Raw genomic sequence first — 18,896 nt, 5'->3', positions numbered from 1 at the left:
GGTGTGAGAGAGCTGTGAGCTGTTCTTGTTGATTATTTCATGTAAAATTATTTCTACTTGAAAGAACAACTGACAGACAACTACAGTTATTCAGATTTGTGCATTTGGCAATCAAATAAATGAAGTAAGCTTTTCGTGTCAAGGAAAACAACTGACACTATGTATTTCCAATGAGAAAACTTTTACTTTCAAGTGACTATTATAATTTTGAAGAACTTTTTATGCACTCTGAGCTTGACAGCTTCCCAACACTTAAGACTTTTCTGAGGATATCAGTGGTAATGTTAAGAAATGTGGGGTTTTTTGTATAATGAAGTATGTCAACATTAAGAAAAAATGATCAATGGATGATCCATTCAAAGTACAGGATAGACTAGTGGATGGATTGTGATTTAATAGAGGATGAAGAGTACATTTTTAGCATTTCGGATGCCACACTTCAACTAACCTACAGGAAACTGCAACTTGCAAAATTTCAGTGTTATATCAAAGAAGATTATCTACAATTATTTGAAAATGCATGAAAATATTCCTCCTTTCTTCAAATATACATCTACATGAGACCAAATTTTCTTCATATACTTCACCTAAGTAACATAATCCACCACATTAAAAGCAGAGGCAAGGGGTCCCTTCCAAGATGGCTGAATAGGAGCAGCTCTGGTCTGCAGCTCCCAGTGAGATCAATGCAGAAGATGGGTGATTTCTGCATTTCCAACTGAGGTACCTAGTTCATCTCATTAGGACTGGTTGGACAGTGGGTGCAGCCCACAGAGGGTGAGCCGAAGCAGGGCAGGGGTGTTGCCTCACCCAGGAAGTGCAAGGGGTTGGGGAACTTCCCTTTCCTAGCCAAGGGAAGCTGTGACGGACTATACCTGGAGAAATGATACACTCCTGACCAAATACTGTGCTTTTTCTACAGTCTTAGCAACCAGCAGACCAAGAGACACCGTCCCATGCCTGGCTCGGTGGGTCCCATACCCACAGAGCCTTGCTCACTGCTAGCGCAGCAGTCTGAGATTGACCTGCGGCACTGCAGCTTAACTGGGGGAGGGGCATCCCATTGCTGAGGCTTCAGTAGCACACAGTGTAAACAAAGAGGCCCAGAAGCAGGAACTGGGTGGAGCCCACTGCAGCCCGTCAAGGCCTACTGCCTCTATAGATTCCACCTCTGAAGGCAGGGCACAGTAGAACAAAAGGCAACAGACAGCTTCTTCAGACTTAAACGTCCCTGTCTAACAGCTCTGAAGAGAGCAGTGGTTCTCTCAGCATGGTGTTCAAGCCCTGAAACAGACAAACTGCCTCCTCAAGCAAGTCCCTGAGCCCCATGTAGCCTGACTGGGAAACATCTCCCAGTAGGGGCCGACAGACACCTCACACAGGTGGACGCCCCTCTGGGACAAAGCTTCCAGAGGAAGGATCAGTCAGCAATATTTGCTGTTCTGCAATATTTGCTGTTCTGCAGTCTCTGCTGGTGATACCCAGGCAAACAGCATTGGGAGTGGACCTCTAGCAAAACCAACAGACCTGAAGCTGAGGGGTCTGACTGTTAGAAGGAAAACTAACAAACAGAAAGCAATAACATCAACATCAACAAAAAGTTCATCTACACCAAAACCCCAACTGTAGGTCACCAACATTAAAGATGAAAGGTAGATAAAACCACAAAAATGGGGAAAAGCCAGAGAAGAAAAGCTGAAAATTCCAAAAACCAGAGCTCCTCTTCTCCAAAGGATCTCAGCTCCTCACAGCAAGGGAACAAAACTGGACAGAGAATGAGTTTGACGAGTTGACAGAGGTAGGCTTCAGAAAGTCAGTAATAACAAACTTCTCCGAGCTAAAGGAGCATGTTCTAACCCATCGCAAGGAAGCTAAAAACCTTGAAAAAAGGTTAGACAAATGGCTAACTAGAATAAACAGTGTAGAGGAGACCTTAAATGACCTGATGGAGATGACAACCATGGCACAAGAACTTCAAGATGCATGCACAAGCTTCAACAGTCGATTTGATCAAGTGGAACAAAAGATATCAGTGATTGAAGATCAAATTTATGAAATAAAGTGAGAAAATAAGATTAGAAAACAAAGAGTGAAAAGAAATGAACAAAACCTCCAAGAAATATGGGACTATGTGAAAAGACCAAATATATGTTTGATTGGTGTACCAGAAAGTGACTGGGAGAATGGAATCAAGTTAGAAAACACTCTTCAGGATATTATCCAGGAGAATTTCCCTAACCTAGCAAGGCAAGCCAACATTCAAATTCAGGAAATACAGAGAACACCACAAAGATACTCCTCGAGAAGAGCAACCCCAAAACACATAATTGTCAGATTCACCAAGGTCAAAATGAAGGAAAAAATGTTAAGGCAGCCAGAGAGAAAGGTCGGGTTACCCACAAAGGGAAGCCCATCAGACTAACAGTTTCTGGCAGAAACTCTACAAGCCAGAAGAGAGTGGGGGCCAATATTCAACATTCTTAAAGGAAAGAATTTTCAACCCAGAATCTCATATCCAACCAAACTAAGCTTCATAAGTGAAGGAGAAATAAAATCCGTTACAGACAAACAAATGCTGAGAGACCTTGTCACCACCAGGCCTGCCTTACAAGAGCTCCTGAAGGACGCACTAAACATGGAATGGAACAACTGGTACCAGCCAATGCAAAAACAGGCCAAATGGTAAAAACCATTGATGCTATGAAGAAACTGCATCAATTAACAGGCATAGTAACCAACTAACATCATAATGACAGGATGAAATTCACACGTAATAATATTAACCTTAAATGTAAATGGGCTAAATGCCCCAATTAAAAGACACAGACTGGCAAATTGGATAAAGGGTCAAGATCCATCGGTGTGCTGTATTCAAGAGACTCATCTCACCTGCAAAGATGCACATAGGCTCAAAATAAAGAGATGGAGGAAGATCTACCAAGCAGATGGAAAGCAAAAAAAAAAAAAAAAAAAAAAAGCAGGAGTTGCAATCCTAGTCTCTGATAAAACAGACTTTAAACCAACAAAGATCAAAAGAGACAAAGAAGGCCACTACATAAAGGTAAAGGGATCAATTCAAGAAGAATAGCTAACTATCCTAAATATATATGCACCCAATACAGGAGCAACCAGATTCATAAAGCAAGTCCTTAGAGACCTACAAAGAAACTTAGACTCCCACAAAACAATAATGGGAGACTTTAACACCCCACTGTCAATATTACACAGATCAACGAGACAGAAGGTTAACAAGGATATCCAGGACTTGAACTCAGCTTTGGACCAAGTGGATCTAATAGTCATCTACAGAACTCTCCACCCCAAATCAACTGAATATACATTCATATACATTCTTCTCAGCACCACATCACACTTATTCTAAAATTGACCACATAATTGGTAGTAAAATACTCTTCAACAAATGTAAAAGAACAGAAATCACAACAAACTGTCTCTCAGACCACAGTGCAATCAAATTAGAACTCAGGATTAAGAAACTCACTCAAAACCACACAACTACATGGAAACTGAACAACCTGCTCCTGAATGACTACTGGCTAAATAACGAAATGAAGGCAGAAATAAAAATGTTCTTTAAAACCAATGAGAACAAAGGCACAACATACCGGAATCTCTCGGACACATTTAAAGCAGTGTGTTGCAGGAAACTTATAGCACTAAATGCCCACAAGAGAAAGCAGGAAAGATCTAAAATTGACACCCTAACATCACAATTAAAAGAACTAGAGAAGCAAGAGCAAACAAATTCAAAAGCTAGCAGAAGGCAAGAAATAACTAAGATCAGAGCAGAAATGAAGGAGATAGAGACACAAAAAACCCTTCAAAAAAAAATCAGTGAATCCAGGAGCTGGTTTTTTGAAAAGATCAACAAAATAGATAGACCACTGGCCAGACTAACAAAGAAGAAAAGAGAGAAGAATCAAATAGATACAATAAAAAATGATAAAGGGGATATCACCATCTATCCCACAGAAATACAAACTACCATCAGAGAATACTATAACCATCTCTATGCAAATAAACTAGAAAATCTAGAAGAAATGGATAAATTCCTGGACACATACACCCTCCCAAGACTAAACCAGGAAAAAGTTGGATCTCTGAATAGACCAATAACAGGCTCTGAAATTGAGGCAATAATTAATAGCCTACCAACCAAAAAAAGTCCAGGACCAGACATATTCACAGCCAAATTCTGCCACAGGTACAAAGAAGAGCTGGTACCATTACTTCTGAAACTATTTTAATCAATAGAAAAAGAGGGAATCCTCCCTAACTCATTTTATGAGACGAGCATCATCCTGATACCAAAGCGTGGTAGAGACACACACACACACACACACACACACACACACACACAAAGGTAATTTTAGGTCAATATCCCTGAAGAACATCAATGCAAAAATCATCAATAAAATACTGGCAAACCAAATACAGCAGCACATCAAAAAGCTTATCCACGATGATCAAGTTGGCTTCATCCCTGGGATGCAAGGCTGGTTCCTCATACACAAATCAATAAATGTAATCCATCACATAAACAGAACCAATGACAAAAACAACATTATTATCTCAATAGATGGAGAAAAGGCCTTCGACAAAATTCGACAGCCTTCTTGCTTAAAACTCTGAATAAACTAGGTATTGATGGAACGTATCTCAAAATAGTAAAAGTTATTTTTGAGAAACCCACGGCCAATATCATACTGAATGGGCAAAAACTGGAAGCATTCCCTTTGAAAAGCAGCACAAGACAAGCATGCCCTCTCTCACCCTCCTATTCAACATAGGATTGGAAGTTCTGTCCAGGGCAATCAGGCAAGAGAAAGAAATAAAAGGTGATCAATTAGGAAAAGAGGAATTCAGATTGTCTCTGTTTCCAGATGACATAATTGTATATTTAGAAAACCCCATCATCTCAGCCCAAAATTTCCTTAAGCTGATAAGCAACTTCAGCAGTCTCAGGATACAAAATCAGTGTGCAAAAATCACAAGCATTCCTATACACCAATTAAAGACAAACAGAGAGCCAAATCATGAGTGAACTCCCATTCACAATTACTACAAAGAGAATAAAATACCTTGGAATCCAACTTACAAGGGATGTGAAGGACCTCTTCAAGGAGAACTATACATCACTGCTCAACAAAATAAAAGAGGACACAAACAAATGGAAGAACTTTCCATGATCATGGATAGGAAGAATCAGTATCATGAAAATGACCATACTGCCCAAGGTAATTTATAGATTCAATGCTATCCCCATCAAGCTCCAAATGACTTTCTTTCCAGAATTGGAATAAACTACTTTAAAGTTCATATGGAACCAAAAAAAGAACTGCATACCCAAGACAATCCTAAGCAAAAAGGACAAAGCTATAGGCATCATGCTACCTGACTTCAAACTATGCTACAAGGCTACAGTAACCAAAACAGCATGGTACTGGTACCAAAACAGATATATGGACCAATGGAACAGAACAGAGGCCTCAGAAATAACACCACACTTCTACAACCATCTGATCTTTGACAAAACTGACAAAAACAAGAAATTGGGAAAGGATTCCCTATTTAATAAATAGTGCTGGGAAAACTGGCCAGCCATATGTAGAAAGCTGAAACTGGATCCCTTCCTTACACCATATACAAAAATTAACTCAAGATGGATTAAAGACTTAAATGTAAGACCTAATACCATAAACACCCCAGAAGAAAACCTAGGCAATATCATTCAGGACATAGGCATGGGCAAAGACTTCATGACTAAAACACCAAAAGAAATGACAACAAAAGCCAAAATAGACAAATGGGATCTAATTAAAATAAAGAGCTTCTGCACAGCAAAAGAAACTATCATCAGAGTGAACAGGCAGCCTGGAGAATGGGAGAAAATCTTTGCAATCTACCCATCTGACAAAGGGCTAATATTCAGAATCTACAAAGAACTTAAACAAATTTACAAGAAAAAAAATAAACAACCCCATCAAAAAGTGGGTGAAGGATATGAACAGACACTTCTCAAAAGAAGACATTTATGCAGCCAACAGACATATGAAAAAATGCTCATCATCACTGGCCATCAGAGAAACGCAAATCAAAACCACAATGAGATACCATCTCACACCAGTTAGAATGGCAATCATTAAAAAGTCAGGAAACAACAGATGCTGGAGAGGATGTGGAGAAATAGGAACACTTTTACACTGTTGGTGGGAGTATAAACTAGTTCAACCATTGTGGAAGACAGTGTGGCAATTCCTCAAGGATCTAGAACTAGAAATACCATTAGACCCAGGCATCCCATTACTGGATATACCCAAAGGATTATAAATCATACAACTATAAAGATACATGCACACGTATATTTATTGCAGCACTATTTACAATAACAAAGACTTGGAACCAACCCAAATATCTATCAATGATAAACTGGATTAAGAAAATGTCGTACATATACACCATATGCAGCCATAAAAAAGGATGAGTTCATGTCCTTTGCAGGGAAATGGATGAAGCTGGAAACCATCAGTCTCAGCAAACTATCACAAGGACAGAAAACCAAACACCACATGTTCTCACTCATAGGTGGGAGTTGAACAATGAGAACACATGGACACAGGGTGGGGAACATCACACGCTAAGGCTTGTCTGGGGGTGGGGGGCTGGAAGAGAGATAGCATTAGGAGAAATACTTAATGTAAATGATGAGTTGATGGGTGCAGCAAACCAACATGGCAAATGTATACCTATGTAACAAATGTGCACATTGTGCACATGTACCCTACAACTTAAAGTATAATTAAAAAAAAAAGAGGCAGATATAAGAATGAGATGTTGACTTCTATCTATTAAATCAGCCATTAAATGGATTTGAAATATGTAAAAAATGGCATTTTTTCACAATTTTTTGTTTTTGAAAATAGTTAATTTTTCATAAAAATATGATATATATGCTATGTAATGAGATTATTATTTTTTAATAAAATATATTTTTAAATGTTTTTATTTTAATTTCTAATATGGTAACAGTCAATAGATATAACCTGCATTTAAAAAAAGAGCTCTTTGTAGTCTTTAATAATTTTAAAGAGCAGAAAGAGGTTCTCAAACCAGTTTAAGGACCACTGACCTAAGGGAAGGGAAAATCAGTGGGCTTATTCCCTATTCCAAAAAATAAAAATAAAAAGAGGAAAAGAGAATTACTGCACAGCATAGGACAATGCAGAGTATGAGAACTATTCTTGGTTTAGATTATCTTATTGGTTAAATTGTAAAAGAGGAAGACCATATTTTAGAGGCCCAATACAAATACTTGGATCAAGCCATTCCTGGCAAACCTTCTTCTTGGACTATGACATGCATCACCTTTGACAGGAACCAAAGAAAAAGACAATAATTTGCTGGGAAAGAGGTAGGAAAAGTCTTCCTGGCAGGGATGGTGAAGGCAGGAAATTCATTCTTAAAAACTAGTAATAAAAGAGGAGCATCCCAAAGAATAAGATAACAAAGAAAAAGAAGACAAAGCACTAACATTTCCAGGGTTAATGGTTATGTATAGACTACAAGCTCCACCCATCGCATGCATCATCTTATTTAATCTAAAAGGTGATACAAATAGGTGGGTATTGTCACAGATATGATAACTAAACTTCATTCTCACAGATATTTTCTTCACAAACTCTTGCTGGAAATCATGAGGACATATGAAGATACTGTGCTACCTAAACTTCTCTGAACTCCTAGCACAAGGTTGAGAATTAAATGGAATAATGTCTGTAAAGCATTCATACATTTACTCATCTTTATTTTCTTAAATCTATAGCTGTTCATGAAAATACTTTTGATATTTTTCCTTTGATGTGTATTTTTGATATGAGTTAGGTAGCATTATAACACTTTTAAATTTGGGGTCTATTATTGAAGATATACGCAAAGAGTGCTAAACTTTCAGAAGCTATGGTGAGCAAAAAAATAAAATGTACAAAATGCAAAATAAAATGAGATATGTCATGAGGGAATAGCACAGATATGAATATCTCTTATAAAGGATAATCTCTGCAGCATTAAGCATCTTAGTTTTTACTTTTAGAAATTCGTGATTTGGTACAAATCGTATGAATGACTGTGTGTCTTGGATTAAGGACTGAACTGTTGCATGCATGCACTAGTGACTTACAATTATTTAATATAAATACAGATTATCCTTCCTATATAAAGGTCCTAACAACCCACCACCCCTACACTTGCATCTAGGATTGTTTCAGCAGAGGGAAGGTAGATTTGCCTGCTTTTTCTGTGTTCTTTTGTGTGCTGCTGATTGCCTATAGCAGGACTAAGTGAGCTGGTTGCTAGTGTTTAATTGTGTGCCCTCTGGCTATAGAACACAGTTTACCTAAGTCGTCAATACAGGAATCAAACGTACAAATTAGTCCTTGCTTAGAAGTGAGGTTGACATAATTAAAATAAGCAACCAGCATTATCAAAGAACCCTATGAAAAGCATGTTAGCATTTTAAAATCCAACAACTTTATTAAATATCTAGAGGCTACCTTGCTGTTCATTGTTGGTAATTAAACAGACACCAACATTAGGGGAGATTTTAGCTAATGTCAGAGGCATTCCTCTCATTAAAGTCTGCATAATCACTACATCATGATTGCCCCAAAAAGTAACATTCAAGATTGCTGAAGAGACAAAATATCTATTTCCACCTTGCCTAATTATCTGTGGTGTGAATACATCTGATTTCACAGTTTGGGGAGTGGAATCTCCATAATGATTATCTGCAGCAAATTTGTTTTTATATATTAAGGAAGAGTTTCTCAAACCTATGAAAAATTGTTTGTTAGTAATTCAAAGTGTTGAGAATTCATGTATACAAAGTTTGCATGTAAGTCCTAAGTATATTTTATTGCTTTATCACAGCTAGAGGCTACTCAAATTTTTACCTTTCATTTCCATTAATATTCCTCCGTTTTTGATTTGCATTGCTCTAATGATCAGTAATGTTCAGGTTTTTTTTCATGTGTTTGCTGGCCATGTAAATGTCTTCTTTTGAGAAGTGTCTATTCATATATTTTGCCTACTTTTTGAAGGGGCTGTTTTTTTTTTCTTATAAATTTGTTTAAGTTCCTTGTAAATTCTGGATATTAGACCTTCGTCAGATGGGTAGATTGCAAAAATTATCTCCCATTCTGTAGGTTGCCTGTTCACTCCGATGATAGTTTCTTTTGCTGCGTAGAAGCTCTTTAGTTTAATTAGATCCCATTTGTCAATTTTGGCTTTTTTGCAATTGCTTTTGGTATTTTCATCATGAAGTCTTTGCCCATCCCTATATCCTGAATGGTATTGCCTAGGATTTTTTCTAGGGTTTTATGGTTTTGAGTTTTACATGTAAGTCTTTAATTCATCTTGAGTTGGTTTTTGTATAAGGTGTAAGAAAGGGGTCCAGTTTCAGTTTTCTGCATATGGCTAGCCAGTTTTCCCAGCACCGTTTATTTCACCATTTCACCTTTCACCATTGCTTGTTTTGTTCAGGTTTGTTGAAGATCAGATGACTGTAGATTTTTGGTGTTATTTCTAAGGCCTCTGTTCTGTTCCATTGGTCTTTATGTCTGTTTTGGTACCAGTATCATGCTGTTTTTTTTATTGGAGCCTTGTAGTGTAGTTTGAAGTCAGGTAGCATAACGCCTGCAGCTTTGTTCTTTTTGCTTAGGATTGTCTTGGCTATGCGGGGTCTTCTTTGATTCTACATAAAATTTGAATTAGTTTTTTCTAATTCTGTGGAAAATGTCAATGCTAATTTGATGGGAATTGCATTGAATCCATAAACTACTTTGGGCAGTATGGCCATTTTCATGATATTGATTCTTACTATACATGAAGATGGAATGTTTTTCCATTTGTTTGTGTCCTATTTCCTTGAGCAGTGGTTTGTAGTTCTCCTTGAAAAGGTCCTTCACATCACTTGTTAGCTGTATTCCTAGGTATTTTATTCTGTTTGTCGTAATTGTGAATGGGAGTTCATTCATGGTTTGGCTCTCTGATTGTTTATTGGTAAGCTAAAGGAATGCTTGTGATTTTGCAGATTGATTTTATATCCTGAGACTTCGCTGAAGTTGCTTACCAGTTCAGGTGGTTTTGGGGCTGAGATGATGGGGTTTTCTAAATATAAAATTATGTCATCTACAAACAGACAATTTGACTTCCTTTCTTCCTATTTGAATACCCTATATTTCTTTCTCTTGCCTGATTGCCCTAGCCAGAACATCCAATACTATGTTAAATAGGAGTGATGAGAGAAGGCATCCTTGTCTTCTACCAGTTTTTGAAGGGAATGCTTCCAGTTTTTGCCCATTCAATATGATATTGGCTGTGGGTTTGTCATATATAGCTCTTATTATTTTGAGATATGTTCCATCAATACCTAGTTTATTGAGAGTTTTTAACATGAAGGATGTTGAATTTTATCAAAGGCCTTTTCTCCATCTATTGAGATAATCATGTGGTTTTTGTCTTTGGTTCTGTTTATGTTATGGATTATGTTTATTGATTTGTGTATTTTGAACGAGCTATGCATCCCAGGGATGAAGGCAATTTGATCATGATGGATACGTTTTTTGATGTGCTGCTGGATTCAGTTTGCCAGTATTTTTTTATTTTTGATGTTCATCAGGGATATTGGCCTCAAGTTTTCTTTTTTTATTGTGTCTCTTCCTGGTTTGGGTATCAGGATGATGCTGGTTTCATAAAATGAGCTAGGGAGGAGTCTGTCCTTTTCAATCATTTGAAATGGTTTCAGAAGGAATGGTACCAGCTCCTCTTTGTACCTCTGGTATAATTCAACTGTGAGTCCCTCTGGTCTTGGGCTTTTTTTGTTGGTAGGTTATTAATTACTGACTCAATTTCAGAACGTGTTATTGGTCTATTCAAGGATTTGACTTCTTCCTGGTTTAGTCTTGGGAGGGTGTATGTGTTCAGGTATTTATCCACTTCTTCTAGATTTTCTAGCTTATTTGCATAGAGGTGTTTATAGTATTTTCTAATGGTAGTTTGTATTTCTGTGGGGTCAGTGGTGATATTCCCTTTATCAGTTTATATTTTGTCTATTTGATTCTTCTCACTTTTCTTCTTTATTAGTCCAGCCAGCAGGCTATCTATTTTGTTAATTTTTTCAAAAAAATCACCTTCTGGATCCATTAATTTTTTTTTTTGGAGGCTTTTTCGTGTCTCTGTCTCCTTCAGTTCTTCTTTGATCCTAGTTATTTCTTGTCTTCTGCTAGCTTTGGATTAGTTTGTTCTTGCCTCTCTAGCTCTTTAATTGTGATGTTAAGGTGTTTATTTGAGATCTTTCTAGCTTTCTAATTTGGAGATATGGCTCAAGGAGCTTGGAGGAAAGCGAAGATGGGTGCCTGCTGCTTCTTCTAGGATCTCTGATCTCGAGGGGCACCAATCTGATAACAGCAGGAATACTCCTGTATAGGTTGTCTGACAACCCCTGTTGGAGGGTCTCACTCAGTTGGGTGGCACGGGGAACAGGACCCGTTGTCCCATGGTGGAGGGGTTGTGCTTCGCTGGGGGGAAACCCACTCATCTGGGCTGCCAGGATTCCTCAGAACTACCAGGAGGAAAGGCTAAGTCTGCTGGTCTGCAGAGACTGCATCCACCCCTCCCCCGAGGTAGCTCAGGCCCAGGGAGGTCCCTGTTCTGTCCCTGAGCCTCTGGCTGGATTTATCGGAGTTCCTGCAGGGGAAGCCCTGCCCATTGAGGAAGGATGGGTCAGGGTCAGGCCTGAAGAGGCACTCTGGCCACAGTCTGCCACAGCTGGTGTGTTGGGCTGTGGAGGACATGTCTTAGGACCAAGCCATCCAGCCTTTCTGGCTCCAGAAGGGGAAAAGCACGGCCTAGAGCTATAGAGATGGATGCCGCCCTTCCCCCGCCCAGGGAGCTTAGCGTGTTGGGTAGTTGTGAGCCCCAGTGCTGGCTGCTGTCCCTTTCTCAAAGAGCTCAAATGGCTTAGACAGCAGCCAGCCACAGCTGCAACTGGTGTTGGTCGCCCCTCCCGGCTGGGAGCTCCATATGCTTAAGCAGATTCCAGCTGAGAGGCTGTTGAGACTCTGCACGGTTCCAGGGTTGGGACTCTAGGCCCTGGTGGCGTGGGCTCACAAGCAGGATCTTCTGATCCGTTGGTTGCACAGTTCCATGGAAGAAGCATGGTTTCCCCGGCTGGGTAGCATGCTCACTCACCACCTCCATTGGCTGGGGGTGGGGGTTCCCCTGCACCATGTGGCTTTCAGGTGGGAGGCTGCACCACACTGCTCTTCTTTCCTCTCCGTGGGTCACGCCAGCTGCCTAGTCAGTTCTGATGAGAGAACCTGGATACCTTGGTTGCTAGTGAAGAATTCACAGGCTAATTATGGTTCTTTTTGACGGGAGCCTCCAATTGCCGCTGTTTCTAATTGGCCATCTTTGCCCTGCCCTCCTTCAGTTTTCTTCATTGTAGAGGTCTTGCATGTAAAGTTTCTTAAGCTCAATTTCACTGCACAGGGCAAGCAGAATACATATTTCAGAAGCTTATAAATTTCCCAGAACAGCAAACAAGTTCAGCACACTCGGTGTGATATTTAGTTCTACATAACTTTGTGTTCTGTTAAGAAACATCGTGAAAGATAAGCAAGTCCGATTACAAAATGCAAATTCTTCTGGTAATCTAACAACTACATTTATTAAACCACAAATGTCTCACCATCAATCCATCATTTAGCAAAAATTTAACAAATCCCTACTGATATGGTTTGGTTCTGTGTCCTCACCCAAATTTCATGTAGTATTGTAATCCTCAATGTCAGAGGAGGGACTTCGCAGCAGGTGATTGGATCACGGGCGGCAGATTTCCCCTTTGCTGTTCTCGTGATAGTGAGTGAGATCCCATGAGATCTGGTCGTTTGAAAGTGTGTAGCACTTCCCTGTTCACTCTCTCTCACCTCCCACCATGTAAAGACGTACTTGCTTCCCCTTTGCACTTCTGCTATGATTGTAAGTTTCCTGAGGCTGCCCCAGCCAAGCTTCCTGTACAGCCTGTGGCACTGGGAGTCAATTAAACCTCTTTTCTTTATACATTACTCAGCTTCAGGTAGTTCTGGATAGCAGTGTGAGAACGAACTAATGCACCTCCCATATGTGCATCATGTTCCTGGGCATTACAGGAGATTCTACAATACTAAAACTGCTCCCCTTCTTCAAGGAACTTACAGTAGTATAAGATGTGAAAAATAATGTATTATAATATTTTCAGCATACTAAATAATAGGGTTTTTAATGTATTTGTGAGTATTTTATGCATTATCACACCATTTCTCCCTCCTCTCAAACTTGCCCTCCATACTTAGTATTTAGGTAACTTTAAAGACCTATGATTTTCACCTTATTTACAAAATGTAACAGCATGAAGTAGGGGAAAAATAAATTTATTTCTAGTCTTTGTATTTTTAAAAAAATTAGTACTTGGGAGAGTATAAAAGATGTATGCATAGGCAAGAGAATCCAAGAAAACATCAAAAGTAAGACCAGCCTTCACTGCTCTTAATCCTCATCCATACAGATTGGAATAGAATCCCCAGGACGGGAAAAGAATCCTGTCCCATACATTAAAAAAAAAAAAAAAACAGCAAAATAGTAAGAAATCCTGCGGGATCAGAGAGCAGGAAACCTGTGACTCACTTCCCAGAAGAAGACACAGGGAGGCGGTAGGACTCCTTCTAAGATAAAGACACTGAGAGAGGAAGAGCCACATGCTGCACATAGGCAAGCATCGTCTTAAACAACTTCACTTGGATTTCCTATACTTAATGGTTCAGGAACACAGAATGGTGGCCATATATCCAAGGATGACCTAAAGACCACAGAGAGAGCAATGAACCTGTGAAGGCCGTATTGAAAAGCACCTAAAGTGGATGAATGAGCAAGTGTCTTGGGGGAACAGTGAATATCTCAGTAGACTCAAGCTTTGACAAGAGCACTGAGTAATGACCCAACATCCACCAAAATTCTTCCTATGGCTTTGGCATCAAGTCCCTTGGAATTTGGACAATACTGTGGGAAAGGAGACAGCATAAATCCTCACTGGAATGCCTGTTGATCATTCCAGTAAGATGGAGGTGGTAAAAAGAGAAATTCACTAATTACAAGAGATAAAGATATTTGTACTTTTTCCATATCGGAAATTGCGAGTTGATAGTCATAGCCAGCACTTTTTGCATAAGCTCATTAGTGCATAACCAGATCCTACCTTCCAGATAGTAAGAGCCTTATCATCTCTTATTTATCAAAGGCCAACTGTGAGCTAACATTGTGTTAGGGCTCATTATTCTTCATGAGTAATCCAAGACAGTTTCACAAGGAAAAAAAAGCCAGAGCTGGTCGTTGAATAGCAAGTAATGTTTAGGAAATCTGCTTGTCAAGGAAGGGAAATTTATGAGCAAGAAACAAAAGAAGAAGGGAGGAATGAAGGAATGAAGGAAGAGAGGGAGGAAGGAAGGAAGGAAAGAAAGAGAAAGTGAAGTCAACATTACATGTCTCAGAGTAAGGAGAGGGGTCTGCTAAGAATGGAACATGTATGATGTTGAATAAAATGAAGTAATTTGAAAAGAAATAGTAAGGTCACATGAGCTTGAATGACATTCAATTTTGTGTGACCATACAAGATCAGAAATGAAAAGCTCAGCCCACGTCAGGAATCTCTTAAATATGGTAATTTCCAAAACTTATAAGCAGTCTTATATAAAGGGTTTTCTGAGACTAATTGGCATACCAGATCATTCTTCTTCTCCCTCTCCCAAGTGTCTGTGTGGCTGAAGGCACAGATAATAAACTGCAAAGCAAAACAGCCTAATAGGGAAGGAGGGAGACTTTGGAGAGGGGTCTTTCATCACCAGCCCTACAAGAGAATGGCATTTACATGAAATTGATTTTCAGTGGTGAAATTGTGCTTGTGATGTTCCATTGTAAATATTGACAGCATTAAAAGGAATGTCTAAAAGATGGGCACTAAACTGTCACCAGCAAAAGACTGACCAGTATTTATGCTAAATTCCTCAAATTGCATCCCTTTTTTACATAAGTAGTGATGCCTCATGAAACAAAGCAGATAATTCACTAGAGCTATGAAGTCAAATAAAATGAATGCACCTACATTCTCTGTCATGTAGAAAGATATCCACTGCCTCTCACCATGACACAGATTTTTTTTCACCCTTCTTTGAGGATTTTCAGATAGAAAAGCTTATATAGGTCCCACATTGAGCTCAGAGGATGAATAGACAAAATAAATCACCATAAAAATAAAAGAACCTTAGAAACATTAATAGATTCCTGGTATTGAGTTGAGAGTATTGGATGCTGATGATCCTTTGCCATGTAAGCTTAGAAACATGTTTATCTATTTAATGAGGAATTAAACTGGCAGCTTGGTAGTGACGGGAAACAAACAAAAAAAATCAGACTTTGCTGCTTCTCTATTAGTAGTGGTAAAACAGTGGCTAAAAGGCACAATCTGTGGATTTTCTCTCAGCTGAATTTCTGAAAGCTTTAAATTTCATCCTTTATCACTTTTTACCTTGACACCTAGCAGTTTCATTATGGACTACCGTTAGCCTGCGTGCTGTCTAATTCAATAAAATAAAGACTGCAGTCTTTGGAACTCCAATACATTTTTTAGAATTATATGCAATTATTTTGAAAGAAGAACCTGAAGAATTTTCCTGGAATTCATTTTAAGAATATTATTACTCACATAGTACATTTATTAAGTAATTTAGAGCAAAATATTTTATTGGATTACTAATTATATTATAGAACATTATATTATATTTCTGAACTTGTGCTAAAATATCCTTGGAGTGAATCATAATTTTAGGATTAATAGACTTACAAGTTTTGAAAAAATGAAAGGTTTTCTCTGAAATATTACAATTAGTGCTTTGCATTGCTACTGAACAATACTTTCTCAAGTTATTCTGAGAAATGTAATTCAGAGTGCTTTGTGCAGAATCTTATTATAACTTTGAATTTTGACAATGACATTTTACATCAAAAGACAAATTTGTTGAGCAACACCAACTACAGTAATTCTGAGACTATTCCAGACAGTTAAATACTTTCTGCAATGATCAATAACAAGCATATGCATAAAGGTATAGTTGCTGTCTCATGAGGTCTATAGATTTAAGAATCACAATTAGCCATTTCCTTGGGGTCAGCCAAGTAGTAAAGGTTCTTGTTTGCATTATTAATGCCAAAGTGATGGTGGAGCTTAGTAAAACATAATAATTGGCACACACACACACACAAAGAACCCTCTTCAAATTCCCTTAGAAAGCTTTTGAGCTATAAAAAAGTCATGTTTATTTCCTGGGTATCCATGAGTCTGTGGCTTCCTAACATGAAGATGGTAGATGAAATAAATGAAAAGTCAATCAATCAGGTAAGCTGCTGGCTTCAGTGACAGAGTTGGTAGGACCTAGCCAAGGTCACCTGGTGCAGAACTGAATTTTGAGCACAAACCTTTTAACTCCAAAATTGGGTCTATATTTTAAAATTCTCCTGAGTATCTCAGGAAAGGAAAAGGCCGTGCTTTGTTTGTTTGTCTGTTTGCTTGTTTCATTATTCATGTGTTTGTGTGTTTGCCATAGTTGCAGGCTGGGGAATGCAGAAACTTCCTGCTTCTTGGGAAAGGAGTTAAGAGCCCAGGTTGGGAGCTCAGGGTGGCCTCATAAAAAGAGCCAGAGTTGGAGCCTAAAGCCAAGGTTTAAGGCCTGGATGAAGGGTTGTTTTAAGAATCAATGAATGTAATGCCAGTGTGCAATAGGAAAAGTGCACTAGAAAGGTAATAGAGATATGCAGGTTTTAGTTACAAAATTTAGGTGTCTTTGGGCAAATAATTTAACCTCTAGATCCTGAAGCTATAAAATAGACTAAAATCACTATGTATCAAGTAAGACCTTTTGCATTTGTTATACCAAAGAAATTAATTTTTCTGTATTTTTTTCATCTGTTAAATACTTCATGTGCTTTGAATCAAGCTTAGTTTAATCCAGGTATTGTGCCTCATAAATATTAAGCTCTCAATAAACACTTGTTCAAAGAATGAAGTTATCCTTGAACAAATGAATAAATGAAAGATTTCATAACAGAGGATATCATTTTGTAATTAATAATGAAATCAACAGGAGTCGAATTGATTCCTTATGTTTACCACTGTTTCTTTGTGACTACATCTTATGAGTTTGTCTAAATATAAATACAATATAACCATTCTTCCTTAAATCCAATCAATACTGTTTTTCTCTTGCAATCTTACTTTGAACATCACTGTCTTCTGGGGATACAACCTGTTTGTCCCACTGGTAAAGGTCAGTGCCTTCCAGACACTGTTTGCTACTGAAAGACAGGAAATGCATCTTTGTAGCTATCCCTTAAACAATTAGCCATAAAGGAGCTTGTTTGGGTAGTAGGCAATCGATAGAATTGCTGAAGGGTTCATCTGATAGGATCTCTAAAATTACCAACCTGATAAGGCCAAAGTTTTGATATCCAAGTACCTTGGTCATTTTGGCTATTAAATCATACTGTCAAAAAATGATTCTAGTCCATTGCTGTGAAATTATCCTAAAAGTAACTGAACTGAGAAGACTCAACCCCGAAGTGTGGTGATAACAGAACTGTCTACTTGACCAAAGTGAGCATGCCTCCACCTATCTCATGCTTTAAGGCTCAGCTCCTGGAACCCACTGCTTAAACTCGACAAGTGTTCAGAAGAGAGAAACATCACTAACAGGCTATGAAAAATAATTCTCTGAGTTCAATGTCCTGTTTGAGTTCTTGGTAGGCTCCTAGGGAAACCAGGACAGAGCGGCAGCCGGGACACCAGGAAGCTAAGCAGCAATACTTGATGGGAACTCTGAGAGAAAGGTAGAGAAATTCTAAAGACAATCTTTTCCCATTTTGCATTTTTCTGGGGACTAGTTCAACTCTTTAAATTGGAATAGGAATTTTACTGCTGGACAGAAGTTGAGGATAATATCATGGGGGAGAGGGACAAGGTTTGCATACAATTGGTTGAGGCTTAAATTGTGGAGTAGGAGAAAGCAAAACATCTATTACCTATTTTATTTTGGTTTTGATACCTTTTTTAGATATAATCTTTAAGCCAATTCTAAATGAGTGCTAGGTGTGGAACATATCATAGATCATGGAGCACACGTGTGGAAGTGCCTGACAGTCTAAAAATCCAGAACCTGAAATAAAGCTGACTTTGTTTTTCCTGTAGAATGTCCTTAAGTGTTTCTGAGATCAAGAGTCATAAATGTAGTGTATGTGTGAAAGGTATGTGAAGAAAATTTTAGCGTTGGAGCTGGGTCAGCAGGCACTCAATTGAAACTCAACCATTCAGCATTTATGTTACTTACCAGTGACACATGCTTATGAGCTTAATGATATTATCTGGCTCCATCTAACACAATGGTGCTTTTAGCTAATATCTTTAAAAATTCATTTGGAAGCAAAAGAGGACTCTCTACTCCACTAGAGACAAAGCAATGCAGTAGTCTCCCCTCATCCTCAGTCTTGCTTTCCACTGTTTCAGTTATCCAAGATAAACTGCAGTGCAAAAATAGGTAAGTAAAACAAGATAAGACATTTCGGGAAAGAGAGAGGAAAAAGAGACCATATTCACACAACTTTTATTATACTATATTGTTCTAATTGATTATTGATTATTGTTATTAACTTCTTACTGTGTCTACCATAAATTAAACTTTATCATAAGTATGTACATATAGAAAAAAAACCACTATATACAGGATTGGGTGCTATCTGTG

At 38.4% G+C, this 18,896-nt stretch overlaps 1 long non-coding RNA gene across 1 annotated transcript in view, besides 1 other annotated feature; it reads right to left on the bottom strand.

Annotated features, from left to right (window-relative positions):
• LOC105373640 (uncharacterized) overlaps window positions 1-18,896 on the bottom strand; it is a 58,027-nt gene that overhangs the window by 31,505 nt on the left and 7,626 nt on the right. The window lies entirely within an intron of this gene.
• Window positions 472-972: an enhancer, noted in NCBI's record as "H3K4me1 hESC enhancer chr2:139700345-139700845 (GRCh37/hg19 assembly coordinates)". NCBI's record gives its function as "activates a minimal SCP1, AML or CMV promoter by ChIP-STARR-seq in naive H9 embryonic stem cells {active_cell/tissue: H9 hESC(naive)}" and the evidence as "EXISTENCE:reporter gene assay evidence [ECO:0000049][PMID:30033119]".

Source organism: Homo sapiens, chromosome 2 (assembly GCF_000001405.40).
Source record: "Homo sapiens chromosome 2, GRCh38.p14 Primary Assembly".
Taxonomy (NCBI): Eukaryota; Metazoa; Chordata; class Mammalia; order Primates; family Hominidae; genus Homo; species Homo sapiens.
This window is presented reverse-complemented; position numbering and strand designations above follow the sequence as displayed.